Here is a 15,572-nt window from a genome sequence, read left to right as displayed (position 1 = left end):
CTAATTTTGTATTTTTAGTAGAGATGGGGTTTCTCTGTGTTGGTCAGGCTAGTCTCGAACTCCTGACCTCAGGTAATCCACCTGCCTTGGCCTCCCAAAGTGTTGGGATTACAGGCGTGAGCCACCGTGCCCGGCCAGGACAGACTCTTTAAGTCTGATAAGAAACGCTTACAATCTATTCTCTCTGAAGCCTGCTACCTGGAGGCTTCACTGCATGAAAAAACCTTGGTCTCCACCACCCCTTATCATTTTTGTTTTTTTGGTTTTGAAGTTGGACATGCTGAATATTCTATTTTTGTTTCTTTAACTTTATTTTAAGTTCAGTGGTACATGTGCAGGTTTGTTCCATAGGTAAACATGTGCCATGGTGGTTTGCTGCATAGATCATCCCATCACCTCGGTATTAAGCCCAGCATCCATTAAGCTATTCCTCCTGATGCTCTTCCTCTGCCACCCCCTCAATAGGCCCCAGTGTGTGTTCTTCCCCTCTTTGTGCTCATGTGTTTTCATCACTCAGCTCCCACTTTAAGTGAGAACGTTCGGTGTTTGGTTTTCTGTTCCTGCATTAGTTAGTGGAGGATAATGGCTTCCAACTCCATTCACATCCCTGAAAAGGACATGATCTCATTCCTTTTTATGGCTGCATAGTATTCCATGGTATATATGTATCACATTTTCTTTTTTTTTTTTTTTTTTTGAGACAGAGTCTTGCTCTTGTCACCCAGGCTGGAGTGCAGTAGTGCGGTCTCAGCTCACTGCAACCTCTGCCTCCCAGGTTCCAGCGATTCTCCTGCCTCAGCTTCCCGAGTAGCTGGGATTACAGGTGCCTGCCACCATGCTTAGCTAATTTTTGTGATTTTGGTAGAGATGGGGTTTCACCATGTTGGCCAGGCTGGTCTTGAACTCCTGACCTCAGGTGATTCACCCACCTTGGCCTCCCAAAGTGCTGGGATTACAGGTGTCAGCCACCGTGCCCAGCCGTACCACATTTTCTTTATCCAGTCTATCATTAATGGGAATTGAGGTTGATTCCATGTCTTTACTATTGTGAATAGTGCTGCAGTGAACATATACATGCGGGTATCTTTATAATGTTAATAGAATAATTTCTATTCCTTTGGGTATATAATCAGTAATGGGATAGCTGCATCAAATGGTATTTCTCCCTCTAGGTCTTTGAGGAATCGCCACACTGTGGGGCCCTGTGGAAGGATCATACTAGTATTTCAGAAAGATTGCTCTGGCAAGATAAGGGGATGGGTGAGGCAGAGTGGAGGGGACGAGGCCTCCTCATGAAACTGGGACTGTGAGTTCTGCCTTTTACAGCCCAGAGTGGCTCTTTCTCTCCCTGGTGGGTGATCTTCTGATTTTATTTCAGCAATGACCCTGACTTCTGTATGATTTGCAGTGTTGCATATTTGAAGCTTGAATCCAGAAAAGAGAAATCAATAGACCCCAAGAATGAAAGTGCATGGGGCAAATGCAGCCCTGGCTCCAAGAGGACGCCTTTCTCACCTTGACTTTCTACATCCTTCAGTGGGTCCACCCCTGGAGACAGGATGAAAAACATAGGAGTGGCTGGTCCCGATTCTTCAAATGAGGTTGCAAAATCTAGGGCTCTTCCCACCACGTATTTGCTTCCTAACTTCTCTTCAACAAAATCTCTGCCAGAAAAAAAGCACATATAGATTTATACATATATAGCAGCCACAAAATGGTAACATTTGAGAAATAGAGGCCTATAGAAATGAAAGAACATGCTCAAGGTCATGGGCTAGGTAGTTATAGAGCTAGGACTGGCTCCAAGTCCACTGCTTATTAAGTCAACACACAACCTTGTGCTGCTAGTTGCCGAGCTGCTCACCTGGATCTGGGCTTCCTCTGAAGCCCCATCCAGGCAGGCCATCGCTGACTCCCTCAGGGGAGCCTGGTGGCTTCTCACATCACCCCACCAATCAGGACACTGTTAGCGCCAGTACCTTCAGAAAGCTGGTAAGTTAAATCCTCCATATGCTCTCTCCCTGCTATCTACCAGCCTTGCCCAAGATTTAAGGCCCTACGGTACGCTATTCTCTCTCTTTTTTTTTTTTTTGAGATGGATTCTCGCTCTGTCCCCAGGCTGGACTGCAGTGGCACAATCTCAGCTCACTACAACCTCTGCCTCCCGGGTTCAAGTGATTCCCCTGCCTCAGCCTCCCGAGTAGCTGGGACTACAGGCGCCTGCCACCACGCCCAGCTAATTTTTTTTATATTTTAGCAGAGATGGGGTTTCACCATGTTGGCCAGGATGGTCTCGATCTCCTGACCTTGTGATCCACCCGCCTCAGCCTCCCAAAGTGTTGGGATTACAGGTGTGAGCCACCGCGCCCAGCCTATTCTCTCATGTTTTATTTTTCTCTCTCTTCTTTCATCTCACTCCACTTACCAGTGTTCCTGTCCAAAGTGTCACATTTTATGCTGAACAAATCTTCATAGCTATAACCACTTATTGAACATCTGACCCAGCTCCTGGTCTTAACAGAGACTTGCACTCTCCCCCAGGAACACTATTTTCCCTGTAGCCTTCTCGACTGGGCTCATTCTCCTACGCCTGCCTTAGGATTGGCAAGCGGAATCAGGGTCCAGCTCACTGCCCACTACTGTTTTCAAGCCATTCCTTCCCCATTCTTTTTTTTTTTTTTTTTTTTTTTTTTTGAGATGGAGTCTCACTCTGTCGCCCAGGCTGGAGTGCAGTGGTGCGATCTCGGCTCACTGCAACATCCGCCTCCACCAGGTTCAAGTGGTTCTCCTGCCTCAGCCTCCTGAGTAGCTGGGACTACAGGCGAGTGCCACTATGCCTAGCTAATTTTTGTATTATTAGTAGAGACGGGGTTTCACCATGTTGGCCAGGCTGGTCTCGAACTCCTGACCTCGTGATCCTCCTGCCTCGGCCTGACAAAGTGCTGGGATTATAGGCATGAGCCACTGTGCCTGGCCCCCTCCCCACTCTTGTGGCTCCTCAGAGGCTCATTTCCCCTGGCTGTGTCACCACTGCCCCTGCACATCAATGTCATCTGTTCCCCTTCAGTCACTCTCCTCTTTCACTGTCTTTTTCTCTTTCAGCCTGGGTGACATCAACATCCATGTGGACAATCCTGTAGATTCTTAGTGACCTCAGCTCAAGAGATCTCTGTTTTTCTCCCCCTTTAGCAACCTAATTCTATAGCCACATGCTCATCGTTGTCATTACTTGGAAACTTCTTAAATGTTAGGACACACAAATGGGAACATCTCACTCTTTGACCCAAGCCTTTTATCCTTAGCAATCTAACCTGACTTCACCTATTCTTTGCCTGTACTGGGGCCACTACGAATGGAGGAATTTCAGTATCTTGGTCTCCCTGGTATTTTTCCTTCCTTCCTTCTTTCTTTTTTAAAATGGAGTCTCCCTCTGTTGCCCAGGCTAGAGTGCGGTGGTGCAATCTTGGCTCACTGCAACCTCTGCTTCCCAGGTTCAAGCCATTCTCCTGTCTCAGCCTCCTAAGTAGCTGGGACTACAGGAATGCGCCACCACGCCCAGCTAATTTTTCTGTATTTTTAGTAGGACAGGGTTTCACCATGTTGGCCAGGCTGGTCTCAAACTCCTGACCTTAAGCGATCCGCCGCCTCAGCCTCCCAAAGTGCTGGGATTACAGGCGTGAGCCACCGCGCCCGGGCCCTCCCTGGTATTTTTCTATCATGCCCTTACTCTAATCACTCCTTTCCTATCCAGTATAGACTCCACGGCCTACAACTTCTTTTTTCTTTTAAAAATAACTTTATTGAGGTGTAATTGACATACCATAGGATTTTCCCATTTTAAGTGTACTATTCAATAACTTAATACATTTACCAAGTTGTACAGTCTTTACCATAACCCCGTTTTAGAACATTTATATCACACCAGTGAGATTCTTTATGGCTATGGCTATTTAATTTCCTTTTTTTTTTTTATTTTTTACTTCTTTTGAGATGAAGTCTCACTCTGTCGCCCAGGCTGGAGTGTAGTGACGCAATCTCGGGTCACTGCAACCTCTGCCTCCCGGGTTCAAGCAATTCCCTGCCTCAGCCTCCAGAGTAGCTGGGATTACAGGTGCCTGTCACCATGCCAGGCTAAGTTTTGTATTTTCAGTAGAGACGGGGTTTCACCATCTTGGCCAGGCTGGTCTTGAACTCCTGACCTTGTGATCCACCTGCCTCGGCCTCCCGAAGTGCTGGGATTACAGGCGTGAGCCACCGCGCCTGGCCTGTTTAGTTAATTTCTATTCCCACCCTCTAGCTCCAGGAAACTACTATATACACATGGCTTTGGAGCTCAGCCCTGCTGGTCCAGTTGTCCTGAGGTTGCCCTTGCCCCATGCCTATGCTGGGCCTTCCACCACCCTGTTTCCTACCGCAAAGCATAGGTCATCCGGTCGGGCCGCATGGCTCTCAGCATGCAGAGGCGCTGCAGGGCTGTCTTGTTCTTCCACTCCTGTGGGAGCTTCTCTTTCTCAGGACATTCGGACTCCACAAACTTTTTCCAGCTCTTAGCAGATCCCTCTATGTCCCGATCCAGATTAGAGAATTCTTCCATTGATGAAAGTACCTGGGAAATTTCAGAGAATCTGAAATGCAGTTTCTCCAGAAAGCTGTCATTTGCATTGTGTTGGGGGATTGAGGGGCCAGATGGTCTTATCTACACAATTCTGTCTCATTTATACTCTTGTCTAGAGCTTTGGATCATCCCCCAGGAAAAATCAAGAAAGAGGAAGAATTTTGAGCAGCTTAGCAAAGTGCCCCAATAACATGCAAGATTTAGCGCATAAAATGTTTGGGATATTATTAGCAGCAGAGACTGAGCCACACCTGCCTGTAGGTGTGTACATGGAAAAGAGGGGCAAGAAGGGGCATTATGGTTATTCTGGTCTTGAAGCTTGGACACCTAAAGTTAGTGACTTCTCCCTTTCCTCCTCAAACTCACTCTGCCACCAAACCCTGTCAGTTCACCTCTCAAAATGTTTCTAGAATTATTCATGTACTCTGTGTTAACGCCAACTCTTAAAATGCCCATGGGTTGTCTATTTCTATGAGGATTCAGTCCAAATGTATAACTTGGTAGCCAGATCTCTTCATCTGGTGCCTCTCTTCAATCTGTCCAGTAAGTCATGTGTCCTCCTACTCTGTCCCACTCTGAGCATATCTGCTCCCAACCTTGGAAATGTGCCTGACTCATTCCCAACTCATTTCCTTGTTCATACTACTTCCACCATCTGTAAAGTCCTGTTTTCTTTTCTGCCACATTCCACTTCTTCCTTTTCTTGTGCTGGTCACGATTGTTATATGTTAAGGCTCTACAGGTTGTGAAAGACCAGTTCAAAACCTGCAACCTCCCTTGGGCCATCCTTCCTAATGTAGAACATGTAGACCTCCCATCCTTTTGTAAACCACTTAGAGCAAGCTTGTCCAACCCATGGCCCTTGGGCTGCATGCGGCCTAGGACGGCTTTGAAGGTGGCCCAATACAAATTCATAAACTTTCATGAAACATTATGAGTTTTTTTGTGACAGATATATATTTTAGCTCATCAACTATCATTAGTGTTAGCGTGTTTTTTGTTTTGTTTTGTTTTGAGACGGAGTGTCGCTCTGTTGCCCAGGCTGGAGCGCAGTGGCATGATCTTGGCTCACTGCAACCTCCACCTCCTGGATTCAAGCAATTCTCCTGTCTCAGCCTCCCGAGTAGCTGGGACTACAGGTGCAGACCACCACGCCTGGCTAATTTTTGTATTTTTAGTAGAGACGGGGTTTCACCATATTGGTCGGGCTGGTCTTGAACTCCTGACCTCAGGCGATCCACCCGCCTCGACCTCCCAAAGAGTTGGGATTACGGGTGTGAGCCACCACACCCGGCCCCAGTGTTAGTGTGTTTTATGTGTGGTCCAAGACAATTCTTCTTCTTCCAGTGTGGCCCGGGGAAGCCAAAGATTGAACACCCCTGACTTAGAGATACTTGCAGAGTTGACATCTTTAATAAAGAGCTTGACTTCGTTTTTAGATGTTTGACTGCTGATAGCTTTTAAACCTCATCCTTTCCTCTTCCCCTTCTGCCCTGGGCACTCTCTCTTTTGGTGCTGGAGGGAAGTTGTACCAGGCAAGCCCCTGCCCATGCACAGACACCCTCACCCTGGCCCCACCCCCTAAGCATCATAATACCCAAAGCAGTCTCCTTTTCTGGCACTCTCAAGCCATTTGCAGCCTGCTTGGGAGCTCCTTTGCTCTTCCTAGAAAACCATGTTATCTGAGTAATAAACTTTCTCATACCCTCTTAGTATGTATGTAGCATCATCAGTCTTGATGTTGGAACTGTATTTTGGGTGTGTGTGTAGGAGGTCTGTTCTATTTCTTTAGAGTGCCCACATCAACATCACTCACTTAGATACTTAATTACCTGCAGTCCTGCCTTCATTACTCAACTCTGCCTGAATGCCTGGTTTCCCCAATGACATGAAAAGCTAGACGAGACTGCGTGTCTAAAGCACCTACCACAGTGCCATGAGTTTTTAGGCACCCAATATAATCTTTTTATTTGAACTCATTCATTCATTCGTTCATTCTTTTGACATTTATTCAATTCCTACTACCTGCCAGATACTGGGGAAGAAAATAATAAAAAACAACAACAACAAAAAACACAAGCCTTTCAGGAGCCTGCAGTCCTAGCTTAGGGAAAAAGAAGATGAGGGAGGCCTTGGTAGGTATGTAGAATTCTGCTGGGCAGAGATGGAGGTAGAGTGAAGGAAAGGGAATTTTTTTTTTTTTTTTGGCAGGGGAAGGATCAAGAAGAGCTAAAGCCTGGAGGAGGGAGAGTGTGGGGCCTGACAGGAAGCAGCGTGATTGCTGCAGAGGAGTCTTTTGCCTTACCACCGACAGGAACAGCTGGAGAAGGACAGAGGCATGTGACCGGGGCTTGCAGAGGCTTTTGTCCCGTGGAAATGAACACATGTCCTGGCTTTACATATTCCTTCACATGGGCTCTGTGGCTTCCCAGTTTCACCCTGATCACTTACAGCAGGGAATCATCCTTCAATGGTGCAGATAAGTCGTGTGGAGTGGTGTGTGGAGTGGAGCAGGAGGCACCGGGGGACTGGAGTTCTGGCCCCAGCACCACCACTTTTGAGCCAGTGGACTTGGAGCCTGTTTTAAAACCCTTGTGAGTTTTTTTTTTCATTTGGAAAATGAGGCCAAGTCATGTGGTCTGCCATATCTCATACTGTTATGTAGATACAAATGCTTTGAAGGCTACAAAGCTCTCCCTTTTCCTTCCTGGGGGGCTCCTATGGCTATTGAATTGCAACTTCTGGTTTACTTGCCTGTTACTCCCACAAGACTGTGAGCTCCCTGCGGGCAAGAACTTTTGTAGGCCTCTTTGTACGCCTTAGACCTAGCAGGGTGCCTGGCACTTAGGAAATGCTCAGTTAATAAGATTTGACATCTGCCTGGCCAGCAGGAGGGCTCTTGACAGGCTGAGAAAGCTGCAGCTGCTGTAATTATTTCTCTCTGTGCCGAGGAGCTGACTTTCATCTTCTTTCAGGCAGCCACTCACCCCCTCTTCCCAGTTTGCATCATTATTAACCCTTCTGCAGTCCTGCAACCCCCTCTGGCGTCTCCACAAAACTGAGCAAATTACACTGTGATCAGTGCTCCCAGCTGCCAGGGCTGGATCTGAAACACACTTTCTTGAAGCTCTAGATTGAATACAATTGCAACATTTAATCTTCCAAATGAGGCAAAGGGATTTCTAGCCTTCTAATAAGCTAAATGGAAATGACTAATTAACCTAATTACTTTGGACTGTGTAGCAAAATACAACCGAGCTAAATTGGCAACCAGACTGGTAGTAAGGGGCCTTTTCAAAGGCTAACAAAGGCCTTCATCGCAGATGAGATTTTCTAATGAGCAACAGAACATGCCCATTACCTGAAAGTTCTACATTTGATGGGACCTAAAAAACCCTTACAAAGGATATTAATAAAAGCAGTATTTTATCACAAAGATTTCATTCATTACCTGCTTATTAGTTCTTCTGGGGAAACAAAGCAATCAGTCTTCATCACGAGATACAATGCTTAAATTTTTTTTTTTAAAAAATCATGTCCTATTCAATTATACTTATTTTGTTTCTTTAGGCTAAAATCCAACCAAACACTTAAAAAGAGCATTCATCAAAGGCTTTGGCAACGAGTACTACATAATGCATTGTGTTTCACCTGCTCATATCCTGTGCTGTGCTTGAGTTTGATGGTTCTGGACTTTGCTGCTCTTCCTAACAAATTCACATAGAGAGATAAAGCTTCCCTAGTTGGCAAAAGCCTTTGAACAGCCAGATGAGCTTAGCCCACAAAACAAAACAAAAAAGCAAAGTGAAGCAAGGCAAAGCGAACCAAACAATCCATTTCGTGAAAAGAGGAATGAAACTAAATTGTACGTAGCTTTTGGGTTGAGCTTTGTAAAATGAAAGTACTGAAGAGTGCTTGTGAATCATTTATTCCTTATGACTTTTGCAGCAGAGGGCTTTGTGGGGTAATACGAACAGAGGCAACTGGACTTGGTCCAAACTGCACAACTCACAGTTCCTGAAAGTTTTTCCTTCTTTGGACAAATTCTATGCAGTACAATCCATATCGACTATAGCATGTGGACACCAGATAGCTGGGTGATTAGTCATCATAATTGTTATGGGGTGAATTGTGTCTCCCCAAAATATATATTGAAGAAATAACCTCCTGGACTTGTGAATGTGACCTTATTTGGAAATAGGGTCTTTGTAGATGTAATCAAGTCACAAAGAAGTCACTAGTGTGGACCCTAATCTATTATGACTGGTGGCCTTATAAGAAACGGAAAGGGCCAGGCGCGGCGGCTCACGCCTGTAATCCCAGCACTTTGGGAGGCCGAGGCAGGCAGATCATGAGGTCAAGAGATTGAGACCATCCTGGCCAACATGGTGAAACTATCTCTACTAAAAATACAAAAATTTTCTGGGTGTGGTGGCGCACGCCGGTAATCCCAGCTACTTGGGAGGCTGAGTCAGGAGAATCGCTTGAACCCGGGAGGCAGAGGTTGCAGTGAGCCGAGATTTCGCCACTGCACTCCAGCCTGGCGACACAGCGAGACTCCGCCTCAAAAAAAAAAAGAAAAGGAAAAGAAAGAAGTGGAAAGGCAGAGACTCGCAGAGGGACACAGAAGACAGCCAGACAGCCATGTGAAGATGTGAAGATGGAGACAGACCCTGGAGTTATGCTGCCACAAAGCAAAAGACACCAGGGGCTATCAAAAGCTGGAGGCGGCAAGGAAGCATCCTTCCCTAGAGCCTCTGGAGGGAGCACGGCCCTGCTGACACCTTAATTTCAGCTTTCAGCCTCCACGACTGTGAGAAAACAGATTTCTGTTGTTTTAAGCCACTCCATTGTAGTACTTTCTTAGAACAGCTCTAGGAAACAAATACAGCAACCATAACCAATCAGCTTCCATTGGTTTAGCATTTACTCCGTGTCTTACACAGCCTTCTAAGAAAGGTATTACGACGACCATTTTGCAGATGAGGAAACCAAGGCTCAGAGGAATAAGACAACATGTCAGAGGCCACACACACAAACTTGAAGTTGAATCCAGGGATGTCTGACTCCAGAGCCTGTGTTAATTAGTCCATCTCCATCATTGCTCCAGTTCTGCAAAGGGGTTCATTCAGAACCGCTTTACAGAACAAACTTATTTTCCGTAAAAGCATCAGACTACAAGAAATTATTGTCTAGCTCTGGACCATACTGTCCTATGAGGTGGCCACTGGCCATGAGTGACTCCCAAGTACTTGAAATGTGGTTGGTGGGACTGAGAGACTGAATTTTTAATTGCATTTAATTTTAATGGTCTTCAAATTCAAGTGTAGAAAATAGGACTTGTTTTATTAATTGGAAAACTTCTAAAGATTGTTGGAACAACTTGGGTATATGAATCAATCAATTTTATGGAATCTCAATACAAATATTTTTGATGAAAATTTGGCATCTGAATTGAGATGAGCTATAAGTTTAAAAAATATTCACCAGATTTCAAAGGCTTAGTATAAAAGTACACAATATCTTAGTAATAATTTTATAACAACTGCATATTGAGATAATATTTTGGCTGTATTGGCTTAAAGAAAATATCTTGCTAAAATTAATTTTATCCATTTTTTTGAAACGGAGTTTTACTCTTGCCATCCAGGCTGGAGCGCAAAGTGATCTCAGCTGTCTTCAACCTCCACCTCCCAGGTTCAACCCATTCTCCAGCCTCAGCCTCCCAAGGAGCTGGGATTACAGGTGTGTGCCACCACACCCGGCTAATTTTGTACTTTTAGTTGAGACGGGGTTTCACCATGTTGGCCAGGCTGGTCTTGAACTCCTGACCTCAGGTGATCCGCCCACCTTGGCCTCCCAAAGTGCTGGAATTACAGACGTGAGCCACCGTGCCCAGTCAATTTTATCCATTTTTAAAACATTTTTTAATGCAGCTATAGAAAATTTAAAATTACTTAAGTGGTTTGCATTATATTTCTTTTGGACGGTGCTACTTTAAAGTGTGTCTATTCATTTGTATCTTATGTAGCCCAGGAAAATGGATGGTTTCCACTTCTCTGCATTTATTTAATCATTCTTAGGCATTTTGTAACTTTGTAATTTGGGTTTCTGTTGTGAATGGAGTACCCCCTTATTTCTTCCCCAGTATATTATTTCCCTTCTCATTCACCAGATTGGGCCCAGAATGACAAATAAAATTAAATAAAAATCAAATTACAACTTTATTATTTGGATCAGAGATTGGCAAACTACAGCTTGCAGGCCCAATCTGGCCCACCATCTGTTTTTGTCAATAAAGTTTTATTGGAACTCAGCCGTGTCCATTCACTTATACTGTGACTGGCTTTGGCAGAGTTGAGTAGTTGCTACAGAGTCTGGCCTACAAAGTCTAAGTGGCCCTCATAATTGTTATGGAGTGAACTGTGTCCCTCCAAAGTAAAATATATACTGAAGAACTAATCTCCTGGACTTGTGAATGTGATCTTATTTGGAAATAGGGTCTTTGTAGATGTAATCAAGTTAAGATGGAGTTACTAGTATGGGCCCTAACCAATATAACTGGTGCTCTTATAAGAAGCAGAGAGACAGGACTCACAAAGGGAAGACAGCCATGTGAAGATGGGAAGATGGTGATATTTACTAAGTGGCCCTTTGCAGAAAAAGTGGGACAACTCTTGATTTAGATACAGTCCTAAAGTTGGTTAAAGCAATACAGGCTCTGAAAAAGAAGTTAGAAAACTATCTTTGAGAAATGGTAGCATTAATGGAATGAGCCTAGAATTTCCTGAGATGACTCCTTTGAAGGGGACGGCAAGTATATAAATAATTAAGTTCTAGGTTTTAGTTATAAAGTAAAACTACTTGGACGGATATCGAGGGAATCATGCTAAATGAGCACACCAATCCCACATGGTTATATACTGTATAATTCCATTTATGTAACATCCTTGAGATGACAGCAAATTATACAAATGGAGAATGGATTCGTAGTTGGTAGGTATTGGGAACTGGGTAAGGGAAGATGTTGTTGTGGTTATAGAAGGCCAACATGAGAAGTCCTTGTAATGGTGGAACTTTCTGGATTGTATCAATGACAATTTCCCAGATGTGTTATTGTACTATAGTATTGCAAGATGTTACCATTGTGGAAAACTGGGTACAAGGGATATCTCTGTATTATTTCTTAAAACTGCATATGAATTGTTGTCTCAAAATAAACCATTTTAATAAAAAAATAAGGAGAAAGAAAGCCAATCATATTACTTTACTCTTATACTTCTTTGTGCTACTAAACATCTGTAAAATGCAATAAACATGGGAGATCATAAACAAGATTCATCTTATGTAGATGCTATTCCTCACATGGCGCTGAAACCCGTCATGGGTGTTCACTCAACTGCCTGCATGGAGTGCAGGCCTGGACTCTGGAGCAAGCTGGTGTTGCCTCACCCAGCATTCCCTGCCAGGCATTGTGTCAGGATCTGTGAATTGCAGGCATAGTACCTACTGAAAGAACCTTATAGTTTGTGATCTTTTCAACACTCATAGAATCCCAGCTAAACTAAGCTGCATGATGTGGAATGAAAATAGGCTCTGCCATCAGACAGACCAAAAATTGTGTTCTGGGCTTCTGGTAAGCGTGGGACCTGTTTCCTCCTATGTTAAATGGGAACAAATAATACCTATTGCCCAGGTGGACAGAGAATTAAATAAGGTAATGCATTTCCAAGGCACTCAATAGATAAGAGCTGTTATTAACTGCTGAGCATCCCAGGCTGAAATGCACTCCTGCTTTGAGTCTGAGTTAGGATTCAGATGCCTGAATACAGCACTGGCACCTGCTGTTTTATGGAAATGCTGTGGCAGCCTCTCCACATCAACCCCAGGGACTCACTGAGGAGGCCATGTCCCAGCCTTAAGCCCTGGTAGGTGAAAAGCAGCTCAGGTGACTTAGGGGAGCTCACAGGAACTTTCTGTTTCCTCACACCCTGGAGGCAGAGCCCTCATACACCAGCATGCACCTGCTTCTTCTCTGCAGGCCCAGGAAAGATGAGCTCACTGTGGGGACGCAAGGAAAGGGATGCGCCTATGTTTAACACAGCTCCATGCTTGAACTCCAACAGAGAGCCCTGCTGACTTCATGGGGACCAGTGTCAGAGGTAAATTCTGAGAGATGAGAGCTTGGCTTTTTTCTAGGGGTCAATACTGACCTTGACAGCTCCCCACGCCTGATGGGAGAGGAACTCCACGGGGCTGGCGGTGCCCGTCTGCACTGGAGATCGAAGCAGGAAATCCAACTCCACTGCATTGACTTCTCGGTTCATGAGGAGAATCTGCAATGTGGAGAAATGATACTGCATTTCTTTAGCTTGTAGCCAGAGTCCTAGAAATCTTAGGGGTTGTCACTCAGTATAATTATTACTGCCTCTAATACTAGTTTGCCCATCAATTTTGGTTGTTTAATGAGGGTAGAGTGGAAGGAAGTGTATATTCACACACGTTACTACTGTGTCCCTCTATTTTCACCCCAAATATGAGAGTGACTGAACTGCACACAGCGAGTGACTATATCTTGGTTAATAAGCATTTATTACATATCAATCATAAATGCCATGGAGTATGTTTCTGCAATCTAATTGAGCAGATGACACATACAAATGACATGATCTGAGGAGAATGTCAAAATGACGTATGGATATACGGCAGCTAGAAATGCAGATAGGAAGCCATAATGCTAAAGGAGTTACAGAGTAGAGAAGTTACCAGCAAGTGAGGGGCAAGAAGAAACTAATTTGACTAAACTTTCTATAAGTAGTTTATTTTCTTTTCTTTTACTTTAAGTTCTGGGATACATGTGCAGAACGTGCAGGTTTGTTACATAGATGTACATGGGCCATGGTGGTTTGCTGCACCTGTCAACCTGTCATCTAGGTTTGAAGCCCTGCATGCCTTAGGTATTTGTCCTAATGCTCTCCCTCCCCTTTCCCCTCCACCCCCTGACAGGCCCCAGTGTGTGACATTCCCTGTGTCCATGTGTTCTCATTGTTCAACTCCCACTTATGAGTGAGAATATGTGGTGTTTGGTTTTCTGTTCCTGTGTTAGTTTGCTGAGAATGATGGTTTCCAGCTTCATCTATGTCCCTGCAAAGGACATGAACTTGTTCTTTTTTATGGCTGCATAGTATTCCATGGTGAATATGTGCCACTTTTTCTTTATCCAGTCTACCATTGATGGGCATGTGGGTTGGTTCCAAGTCTTTCAAGTCTTTGCTATTGTAAATAGTGCTGCAATAAACATACGTGTGTATGTGTCTTTCCTATAAGTAGTTTTGGATTGCGTCTTGGAGAAGCTAAGAGATGGGGATATTTTCACAGAAGGGACGACGTTCCATGGAGTAGGAAATGGAAAAAGCAGAGGCTTGATAGGGGAATTAGTGAGCTGTGTACAGGGGAGAGAAAAGCCTTTGGCTTAGTTTGAGCTCATGATTCACACTGAGAGGTGGGGCCCACATTTTTTTTTTTTTTTTTGCAAAGGCCAAGCTGTCATCTGGGCTGGAGTGGGGAATATAGGGGGTGAGAGGGGTGAGGCAAAGCAACACTCACCCATGAACTCAGGCAGGCCCTGAAAGGTGAAAACAGAGTCAGCACACAAGTGATGATGGGATATCTGACTTTTGGAATTGGAAAGGGCCTTCAACCGTGGGCCAGTGGTGCAATGGATAACGTGTCTGACTACGGATCAGAAGATTCAAGGAAAGGGCCTTCGAGATAATTAGTCTGTGCTCCCAATTTACATATTGGAAAAAATCCCAATTCTAAATGATTACAGGGACATGTAAAAGGAAGTAAATTAGGCCAGATGCAATGGCTCATGCCTGTAATCCCAGCACTTTGGTAGGCCGAGGCGGGTGGATCACCTGAGGTCAGGAGTTTGAGACGAGCCTGGCCAATATGGTGAAACCCCATCTCTACTTAAAATACAAAAAAAATTCGCTGGGCCTGGTGGCGCACACCTGTAATCCCAGCTACACGGGAGCCTGAGGCAGGAGAATCACTTGAACTGGGGAGGTGGAGATTGCAGTGAGCCAGGATCACACCACTGCATTCCAGCCTGGACAACAGAGTGAGACTCCATCTCAAAATAAAAAAAAGGAAGTAAATTTTCATGGTTTTTTGATGTTGAGAATAACTAGAAGACAAAGGTTTCTTCTTAAAGATGCAGCAACATCGGAAATCCCTGCTTCCCAAACCCTTGAGAACCAACGTTATTGAAAACTTTCTAAGGTCAAGGCTGCTACAGTTGTGGAAAGACCTGTGCAATTTCTTATCCCGGGGGATGGCTGCATCAGTAAACTTGCAGTCTAAAGGTAAATAAACAATGATGGATACTCTACCAAATTTCTTACAGCATTTCAAAAAGCGTCTGGTTATTGGTATGGTTTCATCTAGTTTCATCTTCAGTGCCAGTTTTGATTGATTGGTAGTGGCTGCTGGAGTGCTGTGCTGAGGAAGATCTTAGATCTTCCAGGATCAGCAAGAAAAAGTACAATGATGGATTAAGTATGTCTGCCATAAGTGGGAAATGGTGGGGGCAGATGCACACACCACATTGGACCTTCTTGTCTGATGCCTCTATCCAAAGACAGATAGTCTGGACATGCTGTGGAAAGTGATGTTCAAAGAAGAAAGTTTCTTAACACCTGCTGTCTGGGCACTAAAAATAACCTGTTTTCTGGAAACTTCTTCAATCCACTTTTACCTGAAAGGTGAGCTGGGCAAGGTAGGTCAGCTTATCACACTCAAAGAGCCCGCGGATGGTGTACTGGTACACAGAGAAGGTTATGCTGTCTATTAGGTTGGCCACCCGCTCCCTGAGGCTTTCGTCAGGAGCAGCCCTCTCCACAGCCTTCTGGAAGACGATACTGAAGGCCTGGGGACAGAAGACAGGAAACTG

General features: G+C 44.7%; 1 protein-coding gene across 5 annotated transcripts in view; it reads right to left on the bottom strand.

Moving 5' to 3' along the window:
* Positions 1–15,572, bottom strand: part of DNAH9 (dynein axonemal heavy chain 9) — a 371,279-nt gene that overhangs the window by 62,424 nt on the left and 293,283 nt on the right. For all 5 annotated transcript variants that reach the window (XM_011523703.3, NM_001372.4, XM_017024292.3 and 2 more), the window contains 4 exons: positions 15,378–15,548; positions 12,829–12,951; positions 4,413–4,606; positions 1,516–1,664 (listed from right to left, as the gene is read on the bottom strand). In XM_011523703.3, the coding sequence (XP_011522005.1) occupies positions 1,516–1,664; positions 4,413–4,606; positions 12,829–12,951; positions 15,378–15,548 (637 nt within the window). The remainder of the gene's footprint in view (positions 1–1,515; positions 1,665–4,412; positions 4,607–12,828; positions 12,952–15,377; positions 15,549–15,572) is intronic.

The sequence above is a fragment of the Homo sapiens genome, chromosome 17, assembly GCF_000001405.40.
Source record: "Homo sapiens chromosome 17, GRCh38.p14 Primary Assembly".
Taxonomy (NCBI): domain Eukaryota; kingdom Metazoa; phylum Chordata; class Mammalia; order Primates; family Hominidae; genus Homo; species Homo sapiens.
This window is presented reverse-complemented; position numbering and strand designations above follow the sequence as displayed.